Source organism: Homo sapiens, chromosome 18 (genome assembly GCF_000001405.40).
Source record: "Homo sapiens chromosome 18, GRCh38.p14 Primary Assembly".
In the NCBI taxonomy this organism is placed as follows: Eukaryota; Metazoa; Chordata; class Mammalia; order Primates; family Hominidae; genus Homo; species Homo sapiens.
This window is the reverse complement of record NC_000018.10, coordinates 23,078,194-23,101,291: the sequence shown is the minus strand read 5'-3', so window position 1 is coordinate 23,101,291 and position 23,098 is coordinate 23,078,194. Positions and strand designations below refer to the sequence as shown.

Here is a 23,098-nt window from a genome sequence, read left to right as displayed (position 1 = left end):
GCCTCCCAAAGTGCTGGGGTTATAGGTATGAGCCACCGCGCCTGGCCTTCATGCATTTTTATTAGGTAGCCAATCATCATCCCGATTTGTATCTACTTTGGCATTGCCCTAGGAAATACAGTTTCTAATTTGTAGAATAAAAACATTTTTCGTGTATTACTGGACTGTGAATTGCAATAACTTAATTAAGGTATAAAAGATCTATGATAGCCGGGCACAGTGGCTCACACCTATAATCCCAGCACTTTGGGAGGCCAAGGTGGGCAGATCACTTGAGGTCAGGAGTTCAAGACCAGCCTGGCCAACATGGTGAAACCCCGTCTCTACTAAAAATACAAAAATTAGCTGGGTGTGGTGGCATGTGCCTGTAATCCCAGCTATTTGGGAGGCTGAGGCAGGAGAATTGGGAGGCTGAGGCAGGAGAATTGCTTGAACCTGGGAGGTGGAGGTTGCAGTGAGCCAACCAAGATCTCACCACTGCACTCCGGTATGGGCAACAGAGCAAGACTGTCTCCAAAAAAAAAAAAAAAAAAAAAAAAGGCTGGGCACGGTGGCTCACGCCTGTAATCCCAGCACTTTGGGAGGCTGAGGTGGGCAGATCACGAGGTCAGGAAATCAAGACCACAGTGAAACCCCGTCTCTACTAAAATACAAAAAATTAGCCAGGCGTGGTGGCGGGCGCCTGTAGTCCCAGCTACTCGGGAGGCTGAGGCAGGAGAATGGTGTGAACCCGGGATGGGGAGCTTGCAGTGAGCCGAGATTGCACTACTGCACTCCAGCCTGGGTGACAGAGGGAGACTCCGTCTCAAAAAAAAAATAATAAAAATAAAAAAATAAAAAGAGAAAAATATCTATCATATGTAGTTTTTAAAAATCACATTTGGAATGAACATACTGATTTACTTTAGGCGCCATGAATATTTTGACCCCAATGTTTACATGAATTACACGGCAGGTTTATCTTGATCATGGGTCTTATCATGACTCCTGCAGATTTATTGACTCTTGGCGGAGCTGATGGATCAATTCTTTTAAAGTTGACTTCAGAGACCACACTACTACTGATTCACTTCTAATGTTTTGGTGAATATGATTCAAAAATATTCCAGTCTATCATTCATGATGTATTTAAGTGAATCTCTATTATGTTTGGTAACAATTTTTAGAAAAGAAAAAAATGAATAAATAAAAAGGAATTTATCAAAGTACAGGGAGAAAAAGAGAAAATTTTAGACAAACTTTTCCCTTGGATTTGGTTACTTGAAAGCACCCAAGCCTATGAATTTGGTTCCTTCTCCACATAAAATAGCCGCTCTCATTCCCCTTCTTAGGAACAAGTCTGGGTTGTTTGCCCAAGGGTGGCTGGTGACCGTTCCTTGTATTAGGCCAAGACATTGGTAGCCTTTGGTCAAAAGAGCTGGGCGGGGAACTGAGGCCAGAGTACACGGAAACCCAGTGCTTGAACAGCAGTGAGTCAGAAGTGGGTAAACTACAGAAGTTGAGGGCCCAGAAATACCAGAGTGCTAAGCAAAGACAGGAAGGCAGAGTCCAGGCACCTGTCAGCTAAGGCACTTGGTTAGAGTTGAAGCACTAAATCAAGACACGGTCAAACAGCCAGGCATGGTGGCTCATGCCTGTAATCCCAGCACTTTGAGAGGCCAAGGCAAGAGGATGGCAATTTGGGAAGCTGAGGCAGGAGGATCTCTTAAGCCGGGGGCAATATAGGAAGATCCTTTCTCTACAAAAAATAAATTTAAAAAATTATTAATAGCTGGGTAGGGTGGCACGTGCCTGTAGTCCTAGCTACCCAGGATGCTAAGGTGGGAGGATTGCTTAAGTCCAGAAGGTTGAGATTGTAGTGAGCCATGTTCACACCATTGCACTCCAGCCTAGGCAACAGAGTGAGACCCTGTTTCAAAAACAAACAAACAAACAAACAAAAACGGCTGGGCATGGTGGCTCATGCCTGTAATCTCAGTACTTTGGGAGGCCAAGGCAGGTGGATCATGAGGTTAGGAGTTCAAGACCAGCCTGGCCAAGATGGTGAAACCTGGTCTCAAAATACAAAAATTAGCCGGGCGTGGTGGCAAGCGCCTGTAATCCCAGCTACTCAGAAGGCTGAGGCAGAGAATTGGTTGAACCAGGAGGCGGAGGCTGCAGTGAGCCGAGATCGTGCCATTGCACTCCAGCCTGGGTGACAGTGCGAGGCTCCATCTCAAAAAAAAAAAAAAAAAGAATGTGGCCTTTGCTCATTTGACTTCCCTCAGTTCTGCACCTTCCACTAATGCACATTCTCTTTTTTCCATGCTTATTCAAGACCTGCTGCTGTTATAAAGTGATGGCCACACTCTGTGTTTCACAAAACTGACCCTCGGCCACAACTGTTCTCCCTTTTTTTTTTTATTTACACTATGTATCATCTGTAAAACTCATTTAGGACTTAACCTCATGATACCTTTTTACGTTGTTGGAACTGCTGTTCCATGTGTCTTGCTTCTCCAAGCCAGACTATAAGCTCCTTGAGGGTAGAGCCTGACCAACAGGAAGAGAGGCCACATTTCCAGGGGTCAGGCTTGCTCACCCAGGATGGACCCTCTGGCCTGCGGTTTGTTACGTTTTCCTGAATAGAGACAGGATTGTTCCCAGAGTCTGAGGTGGGGGTTGAATCTTCAGGGTTAAGTGGTCCCAGTATAGCCTAGTTGGGGAGTATGGGCATAAGTTCCCGGTGGTGCTTTCTGACTATATACCCTCTTACCATTTTGTTCTCCAATTCTCTTTTAATTTTTATTTATTTACTTTTTTTTGAGACGGAGTCTTGCTCTGTCACCCAGGCTGGAGTGCAATGGTACGACGTCAGCTCACTGCAACCTCCACCTCCCAGGTTCAAGCGATTCTCCCACCTCAGACTCCCGAGTAGCTGAGATTACAGGCACCCGTCATCATGCCCAGCTAATTTTTGTATTTTTGAGGAGATGGGGTTCCACCATGTTGGCCAGGCTGGTATTGAACTCCTGAACTCAGGTGATCCACCTGCCTCGGCCTCCCAAATTGCCGGGATTACAGGTGTGAGCCACTGTGACTGGCCTCCAATTCTCTCTATTTTTTTTTTGTTTGTTTGTTTGAGACGGAGTTTTGCTCTTGTTGCCCAGGCTGGAGTACAGTGGCACAATCTCAGCTCACTGGAACCTCTGCCTCCCGGGTTCAAGCAATTCTCCTGCCTCAGCCTCCCAAGTAGCTGGGACTACAGGTGTGCACCACCATGCCCAGCTGCTTTTTGTATTTTTAGTAAAGATGGGGTTTCACCGTGTTAGCCAGGATGTTCTCGATCTCCTGACCTCGTGATCCACCCGTCTCGGCCTCCCAAAGTGTTGGGATTACAGGCGTGAGCTACCGTGCCCGGCTTTTATTTTATTTTATTTTATTTTTAGACGGAGTCTCGCTCAGTCACCCAGGCTGGAGTGCAGGGATGCGATCTCGGCTCACTGTGACCACCGTCTCCCAGGTTCAAGTGCTTTGCCTGTCTTAGCCTCCTGAGTAGCTGGGATTACAGGCGCCCACCATCATGCCCAGCTAATTTTTATATTTTAGTAGAAACAGGGTTTCACCATGTTGGCCAGGCTGGTCTTGAACTCCTGACCTCAGGTGATTTGCCTGCCTCGGCCTCCCAAAGTGCTGGGATTACAGGCGTAGGCCACCGCACCCGGCCAATGCCTTGACTCTTGAATCTTGACAAGCCTCTACTCAGCCCATTTTTGGCTTTCTTGACCTACTTTTTTTTCTTTTTCCTTTTTTTCTTTTTCTTTTTTTTTCTTTTTTCTTTTTTCTTTTTTTTTTTTTTTTTTGAGACAGGGTCTCACTCAGTTGGCCAGGCTAGAATGCAGTGGCGTGCTCATAGTTCACTGCAGCCTCGACCTTCTGGGCTCAAATGATCCTCTTGCCTTGACCTCCCAAAGCACTGGGATTATAGGCATGAGGGACCCCAGTGCCCAGCCTCTCGATCCACTTATTCATCTTTTGTTTTTGAGAGGGAGTCTTGCTCTGTCACCCAGGCTGAAGTGTGGTGATGCAATCCCAGCTCACTGCAACCTCTGCCTTCTGGGTTCAAGTGATTCTCCTGCCTCAGCCTCCTGAGTAGCTGGGATTACAGGCACCTGCCACCACGCCCAGCTCATTTTTGTATTTTAGTAGAGACAGGGTTTCTCCATGTTGGCCAGGCTCGTCTCGAACTCCTGACCTCAAGCGACCTGCCTGCCTCGGCCTCCCAAAGTGCTGGGATTACAGGTGTGAGCCACCGCGCCTGGCCTATTATTCATCCTTTACTGTGCATCCTCCCTGTGCATGGAGCATCTGCTTTTAAGATCAGGTGAACAGATGGGCTCCCCCCGCGGCTACCTTGGCACTTTGGTTTTCTTACATCTGTACTGTTCAGCTGGGGCATTGCTGGCATCGGGGCCAAAGGGGGGGCAGTTCTATGTCCTTGGATTAAAGGACTTTTAACATCCCTGGTTCCCTCCACTCACTGAGAACCAACATCGCCACCCATGAGTACGACAAGCAAAAATGTCCCCATAAATGTCCATATGGGCCCTAGGGAAGGTGAACCACACCCAGCCGAGTCACCTGCTCTTAATGCTGCCTCCCCGCCCTGCTCCCCAAAATACACACACACTTTCTCCCTAAAGGGGATTGCTTGTGCTCTTATCAATAGACAGTTTCTTTTTTGAAAGCTTGTCATGTCTTTAAGTCATTCTTCCTTTTAGCATTTTTGTTTTGCCTTAGAATGAGTATTACACTAAAAAATATTTTGTTTTGTTTCATTTTACTTAGTTTTTGTTTTTGTTTTTTGAGACTGGGTCCTGCTCTGTCACCCAGGCTGGAGTACAGTGGTGCAAGCAATGCTCACTGCAACCTCAGCCTCCTGGCCTCAAGCAATCTTCCTGCCTCAGCTTCCTGAGTAGCTGGGACTACAGGTGAGTGCCAACAAGCCTGGCTAATTTTTATGTTTTTTTATTTTTTATTTTTTATGGAGATGGGGTTTCACCATGTTGCCCAGGCTGGTTTCAAACTCCCGAGCTAAAGCGATCTTCCCACCTCAGCTTCCCAAAGTGCTGGAATTACAGGCGTGAGCCACTGCACCCTGCCGCATTTTACTTGCCATTATGGGAAATGTCAAACATACACACAAATAAAGACAGTAATATAATGGACTCCTGTGAATCTATCAACTGGTTTCAACAATGATCAACTCATAGACAATCCTGTTTGTCTTTTCCCTTCTTTCTTTCTTATTTTTTTATTAGAGACAGATCTCACTATGTTGCCTGAGTTAGAGTGCAGTGGCTTCTGACTGGCACAATCACAGCGCACTGCAGCCTCGAACTCCTGGGCTCAAGGGATGCTCTTGCCTCAGCCTCCCAAGTAGCTGGGACCACAGGTGTGCACCACCAGACCGGCTGACAATCCTGTTTTCTCTATACTCCCACCTAGCTATCCTCAGCTCCTTTTCTGCTGCCACTAATTTTGAAGCAAATGATAGACATTGTATCATCAAATGCATGTACCTTTTGGATAAACTTTCTGATATCTTTTTGGTTTGTTTGTTTTTTTAGACAGAATGTTGCTCTCTCGCCCCCTCTGGAGTGCAGTGGCGCAATCTCCACCTTCCAGTGCTGCTCACTCACAACCTCTGCCTCTCAGACTCAAGCAATCCTCCCATCTCAGCCTCCAAAATAGCTGGGACTATAGGTGTGCACCACTACACCTGACTAATTTTGGTATTTTTCGTAGAGACGGGGTTTCGCCATGTTGCCCAGGCTGGTCTTGAACTGCTGGCCTCAAGCCCTCCTCCCGCCTCAGCCTCCCAAAGTGCTGGGATTACAGGCAGGAGCCACTGCGCCCAGCCGAACTTTCTGATATCTTTTTTAAATCAACAAAGGTTAAGGTGAAGCACTTAACCCTTCCTTACTTTCTTTACTTGCTTAACAGTCTAGACCCCTCCCTTCCATATCACCCACACCTGCCTCCTGGGTTGCCAGACTTGACTCCAGGGTTGGAGCCACCTTCCTTTTTTCCTTTACCTTCTGACAAAAATGCTAGGACAAGTTCAGGATTTACCAGATGCTCTGTGTTTTTGGCAGAAGGAGACTTTCAGCAGCTGTTTGGATCATGCAAGTTTTGTTACTATTCTGTGTTTCATCTGTGCTAGTTTGGTGATCTATATGAGGCAATTGGCATTCACATCTCTCTCGGGTGGAGCGAAATATAGTTTAACACCACCCGAATAGCACGTCTGTTTCCACCCCTCCTCGGGTTCCCTGGAAAGCTGTCTCCCAGGCTGGGAGCTCTGAGTCCATGATTTCACCAATCCTCCCGTTTCCTTGCCTGTCTTGCAGATTGGAAAAAAAGATATGTCCTTCTGCTGATGAACTGATGGGAGTTACAGTTCCCATCCCAGTACTTAAGGAAACCAAAGAGATGGCTTTTCAATTTTGTCTGTAGAACTATTTTGCAAATGAGGAGAAAATGTGTTGGGTCGGTTGATGGCTGAGTGCTAATATGCGCAGAAGATTGAAACACTGGGCTCTGCCGGATGGGTTCTTAAAGGATTAGCATGATCAAGTCGGGCGTCCTACTTTCTTCCTTCCTCCCCCTCCCTGGGGTGCCTTTGCTGGCTATTCGATTGCCTGCTGGTTAGAACTGACTGACCCTGCTGACTTTGGGGCAGCTCTCTGAAAACAAATTGATGAACCGTATCAACACTAAGCCTGACCCGAAGCGGTGCCAAGAGCCAAGCCATTGATGCCGAGGGTCCCTGGCTCTTCAGTTTACGCTGGGAGCCGTGACCTTGACCTGGATTGCAGTTTTTGAGCCAGTTCTCTCCATGAATCATAGCCCTTCTCTCTTTTTTCCTCCCAAATGTAACTCCCCTCTGGCTCTACCTCTAGATGGGTGTTTAAAAAGAGTGTAGACTTGAGTGAAGAAGAAACAGACTGGATGACCCCTGGATACTCAAGCTGCACATGGCTCCTGTGGAAAGAAGGAGATGTTCAATGCTCATAGGTAGCACCCCAAAGGAATGCTTAGATCCTTCTATTCAATTAGCAGGTGACCTGTTGTTTACAAACATCTCAGCAGAAGAGTCTTCTATCCAAATTCCACTCCTAAAAAGGGACATAATTTTCACTGCTTTATCTTCCTTTGTACTTGTAACATGAACCCCAGATTAGAAGGTGCAGTGGTAGGCTGGGCACAGTGTCTCACGCCTGTAATCCCAACACTCTGGGAGGCCGAGGCGGGCAGATCACCTGAGGTCGGGATCACGGCACTGCACTCTAGCCTGGAACATGAGAGCAAAACTCTGTCTCAAAAAAAAAGGGGGGGTGCTGGGCACCGTGGCTCACGCCTGTAATCCCAACACTCTGGGAGGCTGAGGCAGGTTGATCACAAGGTCAGGAGATCGAGGCCATTCGGGCTAACATGGTGAAACCCTGTCTCTACTAAAAATACAAAAAAATTAGCCAGGCATGGTGGCAGGCACCTGTAGTCCCAGCTACTCGGGAGGCTGAGGCAGGAGAATGGCGTGAACCCGGGAGGTGGAGCTTGCAGTGAGCCGAGATCACGCCACGGCACTCCAGCCTGGGCAACAGAGTGAGACTCCGTCTGAAAAAAAAAATAAATTAGCTGGGCATGGTGGTACACGCCTGTCGTCCCAGCTATTTGGGAGTAAGGAGGGAGGATTGCTTGAGCCCAGGAGTTTGAGAATGCAGTGAGCTATGATCGTGCCACTGCACTCCAGCCTAGGTGACAGAGTGAGACTCTGTCTCAAAATAAACACACACACACACACACACACACACACACACGAGAGGACCAATCCCACTCCAAATCATTGATGCCTACTACAAAAATACAAAAGGTCACAAGAAAACCAATGGGTAGGCCGGGTGCGGTGACTCATGCCTGTAATCCCAGCACTTTGAGAGGCCGACGGGGTCAGATCACCTGAGGTCAGGAGTTCGAGATCAGTCTGGCCAACATGGTGAAACCCTGTCTCTACTAAAAATACAAAAAATTAGCCAGATGTGATGGTAGGCGCCTGTAATCCCAGCTACTCGGGAGGCTGTGGCAGGAGAATCGCTTGAACCCAGGAGGCAGAGGTTGCAGTGAGCCGAGATTGCGCCATTGCACTCCAGCCTGGGTAACAAGAGAAAAACTCTGTCTCAAAAGAAAAAGAAAAAGAAAACCAATGGGTATCCCAAATAAATCAAAACAGATACCTAATCACAGCCTTCTGTGGAATTCATAACTCATCACTCACATAACAGGGATTTCCTTTTCTTTCTTTCTTTCTTTTTTGAGATGGAGTCTCACTCTGTCACCCAGGCTGGAGTGCAGTGACGCAATCTCAGCTCACTGCAACCTCCACTTCCCAGGTTCAAGTGATTCTCCTGCCTCAGCCTCCTGAGTAACTGGGATTACAGGCACCCGCCACTATGCCCAGCTAATTTTTGTATTTTTAGTAGAGATGAGGTTTCACCATGTTGGCCAGGCTGGTCTCAAACTCCTAACCTCAGGCGACCCACCCACCTCGGCCTCCCAAAGTGCTGGGATCACAAGTGTGAGCCACCGTGCCCAGCCAACATAACAGGGATTTCTAAGTGTGATGGTTAATTTTAGGTGTCAACTTGAATGAATTGAGAAATATCTAGAGAGGTGGTAAACCATCATTTTGGATGTGTTGGTGAGGTGTTTCCAGAGGAGACTGGATTGTGATTTGGTGAACTGAGCAGGGAAGATCTGCTCTCAGTGTGGGCAGGCAACGTTCAATCGACTGGTGGACCACAGAGAATAGAAAGACAGAGGGAAGGCAGAGTCTCATGCTCTCTCCTGGAGCTGGGACGGCCTTCTCCTCTTGCCCTTGGACAGCAGGACTCCAGGCTCCCTGGCCTTTGGACTCCGGGACTTACACCAGCATCCTCCTCCACCAGCCCCGAGTTCGCAGGGCTTTGGCCACGGACTGAGAGTTATACCATTGGCTTCCCCAGTTCTGAGGCTTCGAACTTGGGCAAAGCCACACTACCATCATCCCCGGGTCTCCAGCTTCCAGATGGCCTGTCATGGGACTTCTCAGCTTCCATAATCACATGAGCCAATTCCCCTCATAAATCCCCTCTCATGTCTCTATATATCCTATTGGATCCATCTATCTGGAGAACACTGACTCATCTAAAGCATCTTAAAAATAAGAATATATATATATATATATATATTTTAAAAAGGAATATATATGTGTACACACACACACACACACACACACACACACACACACATATATATATATTTTTTTTTTTTTTTGAGACAGGATCTTGCTCTGCCACCCAGGCTGGAGTGCAGTGGCGCCATTATGGCTCACTGCAGCCTTGACCTCCTGGGCTCAAGCAATACCCCTGCCTTGGCCTCCTGAGTAGCTGGGACTACAGGCACGTGCCACCAAAACTGGCTAAAAATATACACATATTCTTAAAAATGATTATTCAGCCATGACTTGCAATTTATAAAGAACAAGAACAAAGCTTATCTTTAAAATAATCATTTTATTAATCGTCCATTGCCACTCCTTTGGTCAGAGTTTCTCTAGGTGGTAGCTGCTTTTCTCACTCCTATTCTTTAATATAGCAAAAGAAGAAGCCTTCAAATGAAGTTAATATGAAACCAGAGACAGTGAAGAGAGAGAACCAGAGGTTGAGAAGAGGAAATACCAGCTTCTTTCGGGATGATGTTACTTCCTTTTTCAAGACAAAAAAAAAAAAAACAGTCTTTTCATGTTGGATTGTCAAGGCATAAATTGTAGTGTGGTTCCTAAATGTCTGACAATAGGGAAATCATTTAATAAATTATAGTACTGTCAAACAATGAAGTATCATGAGCCAATTAAAATGAATTTTTTAGGTTGGGTGCAGTGGCTCACGCCTGTAATCCCAGCACTTTGACAGGCTGAGGCAGGTGGATTGCTTGAGGTCAGGAGTTTGAGTCCAGCCTGGCCAACATGGTGAAACTCCGTCTCTACTAAAAATACAAAAGTTAGCTGGGTGTGGTGGTGCGTGCTTGTAATCCCAGCTACTCAAGAGGCTGAGGCAGGAGACTCTTTAACCTGGGAGGCGGAGGTTGCAGTGAGCTGAGATGGCACCAGGGCTCTCCAGCCTGGGCAACAGAGACTCTGTCTCAAAATAATAATAATAGTAATAATAATAATAAGTTTTTAATGGGCAACATTTTAGTGTGGAGAAATCCATAAGATAAAGTGATAAATGATAAAAATCAGAATATAAAACTATGTGTGATATGATTACAAGGTTGTTTTATACACACACACAAGATAGGCATTGCAGTATTAACAGAGGTTATCATCAGATGTTGAAGTTATGGCTTTAAAAACATGAATTATTATACTTTTTATTTTCCAAATATTTATATGGGCATTTATTATTTTTATAATAAAAGTTGGATATAAAATAATAAAGGGTTTTCATATTGTGGTTGAACTGTAAATGAGAGTTACTGAAGATTAGAGTTTCCAAAAATAAACATGTGGTTTTAATAGTCCTGTCTCATTGTGAATAGAAATACAATTTTTCGGCCGGGCGCGGTGGCTCACGCCTGGAATCCCAACACACTGGGAGGCTGAGGTGGGTGGATCACGAGGTCAGGAGTTCAAGACCAGTCCGGCCAACATGGTGAAAACCCGTCTCTACTAAAAATACAAAAATTAGCCGGTCGTTGTGGTGCGTGCCTATAATCCCAGCTACTTGGGAAGCTGAGACAGGAGAATTTCTTGAACCCGGGAGGGGGAGGTTGCAGTGAGCTGAGATCATGCCACTGCACTCCAGCTTGGGTGACAGAGCAAGACTCCGTCTTGGAAAAAAAAGAAGAAGAAGAAATACAGATTTTCTATGTTGTTTTCCCTTATCCTAGGTGCTTTTTAGCAGATTCCTATTGCACTAAGTGGTTCAGATCTTCTTAGCATGTACAGAATTTTTCAGGAGTTAGTGTTAAATGTTTTGGGCAAATGACTTTCAGACAACTGGGGCTCAGCCTAGCAAAGGAATCCTGCAGTACACTAAGAGTTTCCTTCTAATTTAAAGGAGATTCTTCTTTCTTTCTTTCTTTCTTTCTTTCTTTCTTTCTTTCTTTCTTTCTTTCTTTCTCTTTCTTTCTTTCCTTTCTTTCTTTCTCTTTCTTTCTTTCTTTCTTTCTTTCTTTCTTTCTTTCTTTCCTTCCTTCCTTCCTTCTTTCCTTCCTTCTTTCTTCCTTTCTTTCTTTCTCTTTCTTTCTTTCTTTCTCTTTCTTTCTTTCTTTCTTTCTTTCTTTCTTTCTTTCTTTCCTTCCTTCCTTCCTTCCTTCCTTCCTTCCTTCCTTCTTTCCTTCCTTCTTTCTTCCTTTCTTTCTTTCTCTTTCTTTCTTTCTTTCTCTTTCTTTCTTTCTTTCTTTCCTTCCTTCCTTCCTTCCTTCCTTCCTTCCTTCCTTCTTTCCTTCCTTCTTTCTTCCTTTCTTTCTTTCTTTCTTTCAGACAGAGTCTCGCTCTGTCGCCAGGCTGGAGTGCAGCGGCGCAATCTCGGCTCACTGCACGCTCCGTCTCCCAGGTTCAAGTGATTGTGCTCCCTCAGCCTCCCAAGTAGCTGGGACTACAGGCGCCCGCCACCACGCCCAGTTAATTTTTGTATTTTTAGTAGAGATGGGGTTTCACCATGTTGGCCAGGATGGTCTTGATCTCTTGATCTCGTGATCCACCTGGCTTGGCCTCCCAGAGTGCTGGGATTACAGGCGTGAGCTACTGTGCCCGGCCCCCCACCAACTCTTTTTTTTTTTTTTGAGATGGAGTTTTGCTCTCGTGTTCCATGCTGGAGTGCAGTGCCGTGATCTCGGCTCACTGCAACCTCTGCCTCCCAGGTTCAATCAATTCTCCTGTCTCAGCCTCCCAAGTAGCTGGGATTACCAGCATGCACCACGCATAGCTAATTTTGTATTTTTAGTAGAGACCGGTTTTCACCATGTTGGCCAGGCTGGTATCAAACTTCTGACCTCAGGTGATATGCCCGCCTCAGCCTTCCAAAGTATTGGGATTATAGGCGTGAGCCACCATGGCCGGCCAATTTCAATTTGTCGACTTGAAGTGTCTGCTAAACATAAGACTCAAACCAAGAAAATCCCCTAGGGAATAAATATGGCAAAAATAGGGTGAAGACGCATTTTTATGAACAGGTATTTGAATATTAAATGTTGAAAAGAAAGACTTATTCATTTGAGATAAACTAAAAACCACTTGAAATTTAAATATGGCACCTGGTTCTAATGTAGAGGTGTTAATTTCTTCCTTGAAAATTATTTTTAAAACTTAATTAGAAAAACAACAGAAAACTTAGATTCGTATTTCCCCCAAAGCTGGCCAGCCCTCATGGAGAAGAGCGGGGCATCTTTCACAGTCCCCATCAGCGAGGTTTACTGGGATGAGATGGATTAAGAGGAGGCCTGGGAGAACACCCGGGGCCACAGAGCCGCACCTCCAGGGCTGAAAGTCATGGAGCCTGCTCCCTTGGTGCTCTGTTTGCCACCACACCCATTCCGTGCCTTCCGGGGCTCCCATCAGCTCTCTCAGGGAACTACACTTCTCAAGTTCCTTGTCCTCTCTGGCTTGATATAGCATGGAAGCTACCGGAAGAGTGGTGTCTCTGTGAACAGCTCCGGCATCTGCCCAGTGATGCCGAATCCTGGGCTCCGTTCACTCTGTGTCTTCCAGCCTTAGTACTTCCTGCTGTTGCTATTCTCTGTTTGGCTTCTCCACTCATTCAGCTCTTATATAATAAATCCCCTTTGAGTTCCTCTTAAAATATCCAAATTGGTTTCTGCTTTTCTTTTCTTTCTTTTTTTTTTTTCTTTGAGACAGAGTCTCACTCTGACGCCCAGGCTGGAGTGTAGTGGCATGATCTGGGCTCACTGCAACCTCCACCTCCCGGGTTCAAGCGATTCTAATGCCTCAGACTCCCGAGTAGTTGGGATTACAGGCATGTGCCATCACGCCTGGCTAATTTTTGTATTTTTAGTAGAGACAGGGTTTCACCATGTTAGCCAGGCTGGTCTCAAACTCCTGGCCTCATGTGATCTGCCTGCCTCAGCCTCCTGAAGTGCTGGGATTACAGATGTGAGCCATTGCACCTGGCCTTTTTTTTTTTTTTTTTAATTTGAGACAGGGTCTTGATCTGTTACCCAGGCTGGAGTGCAGTGGTGCAATCATAGCTTACTGTAAACTCACACTCCTGGTATCAAGCAATCCTCCTGCCTCAGCCAGCCTCCCAAGTAGCTAGGACTCTAGTAGCTGGTACCACCATATTCAGTTAAGTATTGAAAAAAAAAATTTGTAGAGATGGAGTCTGGTTCTGTTACTCAGGCTGGTCTCAAACTCCTGTCCTCAAGCCATCCTCCTGTCTTGGTCTCCCAAATTGCCAGGATCGCTGCTGGGCCTGGCAGTGTCTGCTTTCTGGGAGGACTCTGATACTAAAACTATCCATGATTTAAGATCATACTGGGAAATGCTTTCCCAGTATGATCATATAGGGAAACATATAGGAGAGTGGTGAAGGGAAACAATTTCAAAGATCCATGGTCCCGTCAAATCCATTTGTCACAATGGCGGCGATGAAAGGCAGAGGCTGCAAGAAACAGGGCCTGTGTGTGCACCAAGGTTTGGAGAGAATTGTAAGCATGTGTCTAAACAAAACCAGAAGTTAGCTATCTTGATAATCCAGATTTCATGGCTGATAGCTGGCAAGTTGTTTATGTTATCACAGAAAGCCATTTATTTCTTTAGGAATGAACTTTTTGATACCATGAAGCTTCAAATAATGCTTGTTCTCTTGAGTAGAAGCATTCTGGAAGCATCCAAATTTAATGAAACCTGAACAAAGCCTGGATATACGGGGACATCTCCCATTGCCGTGCTAATCATGATTGGGTAGCAGAGCGCATATAATTTTTTAAAAACCCCTCTGGGATAATTACTAGCTGCCTCTTAAATTTTAAAATTCTTAACTCTGTATTTATTAAGTCAGGACCATAATTTGTGAAATAAAAGAATTATCAGCTGTGTTAGTTTTGTTACCAATAGGGAACCCATATGATAGAAGCAGACAGAGAATAGTTAGCAGCTGTTTCCTATAAAGAACGAAGGCAACCGAGCTCACTGGTGATTTCTCCCAGCTACTCGGGAAGCTGAGGCGGGGAGCCTTGCTTGAAGCCAAGAGTTCAAGGTTATAGTGGGCTCTGACTGCACCTGTGAATAGTCCCTGCACTCCAGCCTGGGCAACATAGCGAGACCCCATCTCTGAAAAAAAAAAGAGCAAGCTAGAAGGAAAACAAGATGTGTTTAGTACTGCATAGATAAAACATTTTTGTTGCATAAATCATGCACACCTCAAATTATTAATGAACAGGAATGAGCAATTCATTCAGCCTGGAATAAATCATCCCTTTTAAGCTGGGCTTGGAAAGATGACAAGGCATTGTGTAGGCAAGAGCAGGATGGGATTTCAGAAAGACCCAAGAGCATACAGTGGAGGCAGTGAGCAGCCGCCAGGTGAGGCTACAGCAGGCAGGAAAGGAGGCTGGCTTTGCAGGCCAGATTAGGCAGTTTTGACTTCATTTTCCATTTTTGGGAGGGTAGGACATGAGGACTAAGCTTTTTTTTTTTTTTTTTCCAGGAGACAGAGTCTTGCTCTGTTGCCCAGGCTGGAGTGCAGTGGTGCGATCTCAGCTCACTGCAACCTCCGCCTCCCAGGTTTAAGCGATTCTCCTGTCTCAGCCTCTGGAGTAGCTCAGATTACAGGTGTGCGCCACTATACCCAGCTAATTTTTGTATTTTTAATAGAGATGGGGTTTCACCATGTTGTCCAGGCTGGTCTCGAACTCCCGACCTCAGGTGATCCACCTGCCTCGGCCTCCCAAAGTGCTGGGATTAAAGGTGTGAGCCACCACGCCCGGCTCAGCTCTGACTTTTTATCTTCCCAAATGCCTACCTAAGGGGTCTGGGGAGTTATGCCCTACAAAGCATGGATTCTCATCTCATGGTTTTATTTGACCCTGTATATTGTGACTTGCTTTTCGATCTGACTCTGGCATAACATTATGAGACAAGAAAGAAAATATTTAACCCCAAAATATATTTCCTTGCCATGCCTTGAAATTGCCCTGCAAAGTCTCTTGTGGGAAAAATCCACCTTCTATAGAGAATCCCCTTCCCCCTTTGTTTTCCTTCCTTTCTTTCTAGATTCAGGAGATAGTCAACTAAGAGCCAGGCACCCTTTTAGGTCCAATAAGAAACAATTTACAACCTGTTCTCTCTCTAAAGTCTGCTGATAGATTCCTCCGCACAATAAAACTTGGTCCCCACAATCCTGTATCTTAACCTGAACATTCCTTTCCATTAATCCCAGGTCTTCAGATAAACTCAACCAATTGTCAACCAGAAAATGTTTAAATTTACCTGCAGCCTGGAAGCCCCCGCTTTGAGTTGTCCCACCTTTCTGAACCAAACCAATATATTTCTTAAATGTATTTGATTGATGTCTCATGTCTCCCTAAAATGCATGAAACCAAGCTGCGTCCTGACCACCTTGGGCACATGTTCTCAGGACCTCCTGAGGACTGTGTCATGGGCCATGGTCACTTATATTTGGCTCAGAATAAATCTCTTCAAATATTTTACAGAATTTAACTCTTTTTGTCAACATGCAGGAGGGAGGACATAGAAGGCTTTTAAGCTGAAGAGTGACATGATCAGTTCTGTGCTTTGCAAGTTCCTTGCACGTACAAGTTCCATAAATATTTGTCAGATTGAATTTTTAAAAGATGATAATGGAGCAGCAGCTAAAAATCCCGAATGTAATTACAGAGCTTTAGGTTGGGAGTATTTTCATGCTAGGTGTGGTTAAGACCTATTGTTGGTTTCCTAGCAACCATGCATCCTTTCCGTGGAGAAATCTGAAGGGTCACTTGAACGTCTCCACTTGGGAATCATGCTAAGGAGAGTAGGAGGGCATTTATTTGATTTGTTCCCTCAACTTCCAGAGACTGCAAGTCACATTCAGAAGGGATTATTGAGGTTTGGGTGGGGGTAGGTGCCTCTGCAGAGAAGGCTGGGGCACAGGAAGGGAGCCTCGGTGAAGCACTTGCTCTCCTATCATGCACATTCCTGTCACAATGAGGTCTTCACAGAAAACTTAAACACAAAGGACACAGACACAGAGAGAGGCTCAGATGGATATATGAGGCGAGAGATTGTCAGATGAGCGCTGAGGGTGAGACTTGGGTGAGGAAGGACAAAGATGAAAGAAGCTAAGTCTCGGCCGGGGCCCGGTGGCTCATGCCTGTAATCCCAGCACTTTGGGAGGCCGAGGCGGGTGGATCACGAGGCCAGGAGATCGAGACCATCCTGGCTAACACGGTGAAACCCTGTCTCTACTAAAACTTAAAAAAAAAAAAAATTATCTGGGCGTGGTGGCGGGCACCTGTAGTCCCAGCTACTCGGGAGGCTGAGGCAGGAGAAGGGTGTGAACCCGGGAGGCGGAGCTTGCAGTGAGCCGAGATCGCGCCACTGCACTCCAGCCTGGGCGACAGAGCGAGACTCCGTCTCAAAAAAAAAAAAGAAGCTAAGTCTCATCAAGAAACATCATCAAGATACTGAGCATCTTTTTTAGTCATTATTATATAGGGTAGCAGAATATGCCACCCCAAAATGTGCCCCTTTGGCATAAGGATGATTTCAAACTGAAGACAACCTTAAAGAGACACGGCCGGGTGTAGTGGCTCACCCCTGTAATCCCAACACTTTGGAGGCCAAGTCAGGCGGATGGCTTGAGCCCAGGAGTACACCACCAGCCTCGGCAGCATGGTGAAACCCCGTCTCTACTAAAAATACAAAAAAATTAGCTGGGCGTGGTGGCACATGCCTGTAGTCCTAGCTACTTGGGAGGCTGAGGTGGGAGAATGGCAGGAACCCAGGAGGCAGAGGTTGCAGTGAGCCAAGGACGCACCACTACACTCTAGCCTGGACAACAGAGCAATATTCCGTCTCAAAAAACAGAAAAAAAGAAAACCGAATCATCGTTTTGCCCCAGATATGAGATTTGTTCAGTAAACAAATTCCCCTCCACTCCCACCTCCCACTATCCTGGGTGATCTTTTTCTTGACTCTATCAGATGAGAAGAGGAGGGGAATGAAGAAGAGGAGAGAGGGAAAGGAGACCTTCTAGAACTGGGGTCAGCAACTGCTAGAAATAAAATTTGTTGCCTAGCAACAATGCCTTCTCACCTCCTCCCAGCTATCAATTTTTGATATTCCTCTTCTCCCTCCCTTCTTTAAGGGCTATTCTCTTCATTTAACTAAATTTTACCTATATTAAATAGGGAGGCAAAAATGCATGTATCATAATCTTATGCTAACATAGCTGAATATGGAATTTGCAGATCATAGAGGAGTGAATGCACAATTCTTCAAATGAAAATCCCTTTATTTGGCTATTACTTATTTAACAGATATTTATTGAATGTCTGCAGTGTGCCTGACACTCTGCAAAGGACTGAGTTAGAAAATCTTCCACAGGTAGATTTAAAAACAGAAAGAAGGCCGGGAGCAGTGGTTCACGCTTGTAATCCCAACACTTTGAGAGACTGATGCAGGTAGATCACCCGAGGTCAGGAGTTCGAGACTAGCCTGGCCAGCATGGTGAAACCACACTTCTACTAAAAATACAAAATTAGCCGGGCGTAGTGGTGCATGCCTGTAGTCCCAGCTGCTCGGGAGGCTGAGGCAGGAGAATCGCTTGAACCTGGGAGGCAGAGGTTGCAGTGAGCCCATAGCACTGCAGTCCAGCCTGGGCAACAAGAGTGAAACTCCCGTCTCAAAAAAAAAAAAAAAAAAAAAAAACCCCAAAAACAAAACAAACCAAACCAAACCAACAAACAAAAAATACACACAGAAAGGAGTCCCTGGTGTCCAGGAAGAACTAAGAATTGGCAGAGGAATCACATGTTAAAGTTCGAACTTTAAGAACACATATAGGTTGGTAGACATAATGTCAGTATATGAAGAATCAACTGCATTACGATATACCAGCAATAAACATCTGAAACATTCCATTTATAACAGCCAAACCACAAAGTACCTAGGAATTAAACTAACAAATGATGTGCAAGAGTTGTCTGGAGAAAATTATAAAGCTCTATGAAAAAATATATTTTCAGAAATCTAAACAAATGGAAATATTTATCATGTTTGTGGATAAAAAGCCAAGAAATCCTAAAGAAGTCAATCCTTCCCAAAGTCATCTGCGAATCCAATAACATTTACGTGAAAATTCTAATGAGTATTATGACAATCTTCATACGCTAATTCTAAAAGTTATGCAGATAAGTAAAGGGCCAATGATAGCCATGGTAATTTTATTTTACATAATTAATTAATTAATTTAGAAACAGGGTCTCGCTCTGTTCCCCTGGCTGGGGTGCACTGGTGTAATCATAACTCACTGCAGCCTCAAACTCCTTGGTTCAAGCAATCCTTCTGTCTCAGCCTCCTGAGTGGCTAGGACTACAGGCATGCACCACCACACCCAGCTAATTTTTTTTTTTTTCTGTAGAGACAGGGGTCTCACCATGTTGTCCGAGGCTGGTCTGGAACTCCTGGCCTCAAGTGATCCTCCCACCTTGGCCTCCCAAAGTGCTAGGATTACAGGTGTGAGTCACCATGCCCAGCCAGTCATGGTAATTTTAATTATAAAGTACATGGCAGGAGGCTTACCCAGATATTAGAATTTCTTATAAAGCTACAGGAATTATAGCAATATGATATTGGTATAGAAATGGAAAAGTAGACCTCTGGAACAGAATGGGGCCCATTGAAACAGACTTATGCATAAAGGAATCTTGACACATGACAGAGGCAGAATTACCAATGAAGTGGGGAAAGGGGTTAATAAATGGTGCCTGGGAAAACTGGCCCTCTACGGGGAAAAAAATTAAATTTCATCCCTGTTTCATACCATAAACAAACATCTATTCCACATTACTTGAATAATAAAAGCAAAACTTTATTATTTATATATTTTTTGAGACGGGGTCTCTTCTGTTGGCCAGGCTACGGTGCAGTGGTGCAAACACAACTCACTGCAGCTTCAGTCTCCCCAGGCTCAGATGATCCTCCCACCTGAGCCTCCCAAGTATAATAGCTGGGATGACAGATGCACACCACCACACTCAGATAATTTTTGTATTTTTTTGTAGAGATGGGGTTTTGCCAAGTTTAGGCTTGTCTTGAACTCCTGGACTCAAGTAATCCTCCTGCCTCAGCCCCTTAGAGTGCTGGGCTTACAGGCATGAGCCACTTCACCTGGCTAAAAGCAAAACTTTAAAAGGCCTAGAAGCACGTGCATTAAAATATCTTCATAACCTTGGGCAGGAGATAATCATTTCCCTTTTTTTTTTTTTGAGACGGAGTCTCACTCTGTCCCCTAGGCTGGAATGCAGCGGCACAATCTCGGCTCACTGCAACCTCCACCTCCTAGGTTCAAGCGATTCTCCTGCCTCAGCCTCCCCAGTAGCTGGGGTTACAGGCACGTGCCACCACACCCAGCTAATTTTTGTATTTTTATTAGAGACGGGAGTTTCACCATGTTGGCCAGGCTGGTCTCGAACTCCTGACCTTGTGATCTGCCCGCCTCCACCTCTCAAAGTGCCGGGATTACAGGCATGAGCCACCGCACCCGGCAATCATTTCTTAAGACTCAGAAACATGAACAGTACTTGAAAAGATTGCTACCTTTGTTAAAGGAAGTTTTCTGAAAAGGTAAAATCATGACTCTCACATAGATATACAATGAACACATGTTAAAGATTTTATTTACCTCATTATGAGACAGGAACCAGGCAGATGTTATGATCATTTAAAGGAGAAAGCAAAGAACCACATACTGATGTGGAATAAAGAAATGTTGAGGCCGGGTGTGGGGCTCATGCCTGTAATCCCAGAACACTGGGAGGCCGAGGTGGGCAGATCACTTGAGGTCAGGAGTTTGAGACCAGCCTGGCCAACATGGTGGAACCCCATCTCTACTAAAAATATAAAAATTAGCCAGGCACGGTAGTGGGTGCCTGTAATCCCAGCTATTTGGGAGGCTGAGGCAGGAGAATTGCTTGAACCCAGGAGGTAGAGGTTGCAGTGAGCCGAGATTGCACCACTATACTCCAGTCTGGGTGACAGAGTGAGACTCCATCTCAAAAACAAAATAAAATAAAATAAATGTTGAAATAAATTTATAAATAGATGTGAACTTCGCTCTTTCCAAAGGCAGGTTGAGGTGGGGGAGATTAATGGGTATGAGCAGAGGGAGTCAATTCAACCACCACCAAACAGAATTTACGTCTAGAGACAAGAATTATTTTGCATTGCTATCAGTATTTGACAACTTAAAAGTTAAAATAGGCTGGACAAGGTGGCTTATGCCTGTAATCCCAGTACTTTGGTGGGCTCAAGGTGGGGGACTGCTTGAGCCCAGGAGTTTGAGACAAGCCTGGGCAACACAGCAAGACCCCATCTCTATGAAAAATGTAAAAATTAGCCAGGCATTGTGGCACACGCCTGTAGTCCCAGCTACTCAGGAGGCAGAGGCGAGACGATCTACCAGAGCCTGGAAGGTGGAGGCTGCTGTGAGCTGTGTTTGCACCACAGCGCTGTAGCCTGAGTGATAGAGCGAGATCCTGTCTCAAAAAAAAAGTTATAAAATAGCTCAAAGACAATAAATAGCTGAAATTAAATAATCTAGAACAGTGTGCTCTAAGCAACACATTGTTTTCCACTGGAGACACCAGTAATTTTTTTTTGTTTATTCCAAGTTTTTTTATATATCTGATTACTTTTTTCTTTTTATTTTTGAGATGGAGTATTACTCTGTCACCCAGGCTGGAGTGCAGTGGCACCATCTCGGCTCACTGCAAGCTCCACTTCCCGGGTTCACGCCATTCTCCTGCTTCAGCCTCCCGAGTAGCTGGGACTACAGGCACCCGCCACCACGCCCAGCTAATTTTTTGTATTTTCAGTAGAGATGGAGTTTCACTGTGTTAGCCAGGATGGTCTCGATCTCCTGATCTCGTGATCCTCCTGCCTTGGCCTCACAAAATACTGGGATTACAGGCGTGAGCCACTGCACCCAGCCTGGGTGACTTTTAATGCAATGCCTCACATATAACAACTCAGTAAGTACCAGATGAATAGATAAATGATGAATGACAAAACGAAAATTTGAGCTGTAAGTAGAGTTCGGATAAAATATTAGCATCGGCCGGTTGTGGTGGCTCACGCCTGTAATCCTAGCACTCTGGGAGGCCGAGGTAGGTGGATCACGAGGTCAGGAGATCGAGACCATCCTGGCTAACACGGTGAAACCCCGTCTCTACTAAAAATACAAAAAATTAGCCAGGAGTGGTGGCGGGTGCCTGTAGTCCCAGCTACTCAGGAGGCCGAGGTAGGAGAATGGCGTGAACCCGGGAGGCAGAGCTTGCAGTGAGCCGAGATCGCCCCACTGCACTCTAGCCTGAGTGACGGGTCAAGACTCCATCTCAAAAATAATAATAATAATAATTAGCATCTTTGTAAGAATGGCAGAAAACAACTTGAGGTCTTTTAGCCTTTCTCTGCTGGCTATGACACATCTCTGTGCTTCCTGGATAGTTTGTTAGTTTCTGTTTTGTGTTCATTCATTCACTTATTATTCATTCTTATTATTCATTATTCATTCATTTATTCAACATTATTCATTGCAACTTGTGGGAAGAACAAAATAAACAACATTGACAACAAGGAATAAACCCAGAAGCAGCAAGAGACTTGGGAATTTTGTAGTGACGCCAGTTTGGTTTCCACTGATACATTCGGGTAAAAATGACTCCAGTTTGGTTTGCTATGTGGAAGACAAACAATTCATTCCTCACTCACTCTCCTCTGGAGTTGAGAGAAAACAGCCATCCCTCTTCTCCCTCTCTGTGGAAAAAGACCGAATCAGTTGGCGGAGCTTAGCTAAGCTTTTTTTAGTGAAGTTAGAACTTGCTTGGAGACACAGGACTTCCTCTACAAAAGGGCTTTTTTTTTTTTTTTTAATTGAAGGAAACACTGAAGTCTCTTCTAACTCTAGCTGGCCCCCAGCCTGGCTCTCTGCAGCCCCTGCAGTTGACCCTGTCTGACTTTGCCTCTGCAGGAACTTTCTTCACGTTCAAAACCATGAAACATTTTGCCCTGCCTCGGAGTAAAATCAAACACCAGTGAGAACCTCTTGAAGTGAGTTTCCATAGACTCTCAGATGGAAGCCTGGGAATTTCACTGTGCCCCTAAGGAGACCTGAGCTTCCTAAGAGATGAGGACACTTTGATTTCCTAATGTGACTTTTGTCACAGTGGAGCACACTTTGACTCTCACTTCCTGTTTTAATTCTGTTTGGAAATAAAAATCTGCTGAGATTTAGTTTCAAAAGAGCTTCTTGAGGTTTTCTCTGCCAACTAGAAAAGGGAATAACGGCCAGGCGTGGTGGCTCACGCCTGTAATCCCAACACTTTGGGAGGCCAAGGCAGGTGGATCACCTGAGGTCAGGAGTTCGAGACCAGCCTGACCAACATGGAGAAACCCCATCTCTACTAAAAATACAAAACTAGCCGTGCATGGTGGTGCATGCCTGCAATCCCAACTATTTGGGAGGCTGAGGCAGGAGAATCGCTTGAACCCGGGAGGCGGAGATTGCGGTGAGCCGAGATCACGCCATTGCACTCCAGCCTGGGCAACAAGAGTAAAACTCCATCTCAAAAAAAAAAAAAGGAAAAGAAAAAGAAAAGGGAATAAACACAATTGCAGTCAGCACGCACTGATAACCAGGGCTGCCAGTTAACGTGGGGACCTTGCTTTGTTGAGATGGAACACATCCTACTCGGGAGGGCTATGAATGAGGTCTCAAGGGGTGAGCCAAGGTTCCCTGGGTGGAGTGGACTGGGGAACAAGGCAGATGGAGCT

General features: G+C 45.4%; 2 annotated features.

The window, feature by feature from the left end:
• Positions 1,333–1,627: an enhancer, noted in NCBI's record as "tiled region #2761; HepG2 Activating DNase matched - State 5:Enh". NCBI's record gives its function as "activates a minimal TATA promoter and a strong SV40 promoter by Sharpr-MPRA in HepG2 cells {active_cell/tissue: HepG2}" and the evidence as "EXISTENCE:reporter gene assay evidence [ECO:0000049][PMID:27701403]".
• Positions 16,532–17,032: an enhancer, noted in NCBI's record as "H3K4me1 hESC enhancer chr18:20664224-20664724 (GRCh37/hg19 assembly coordinates)". NCBI's record gives its function as "activates a minimal SCP1, AML or CMV promoter by ChIP-STARR-seq in naive and primed H9 embryonic stem cells {active_cell/tissue: H9 hESC(naive and primed)}" and the evidence as "EXISTENCE:reporter gene assay evidence [ECO:0000049][PMID:30033119]".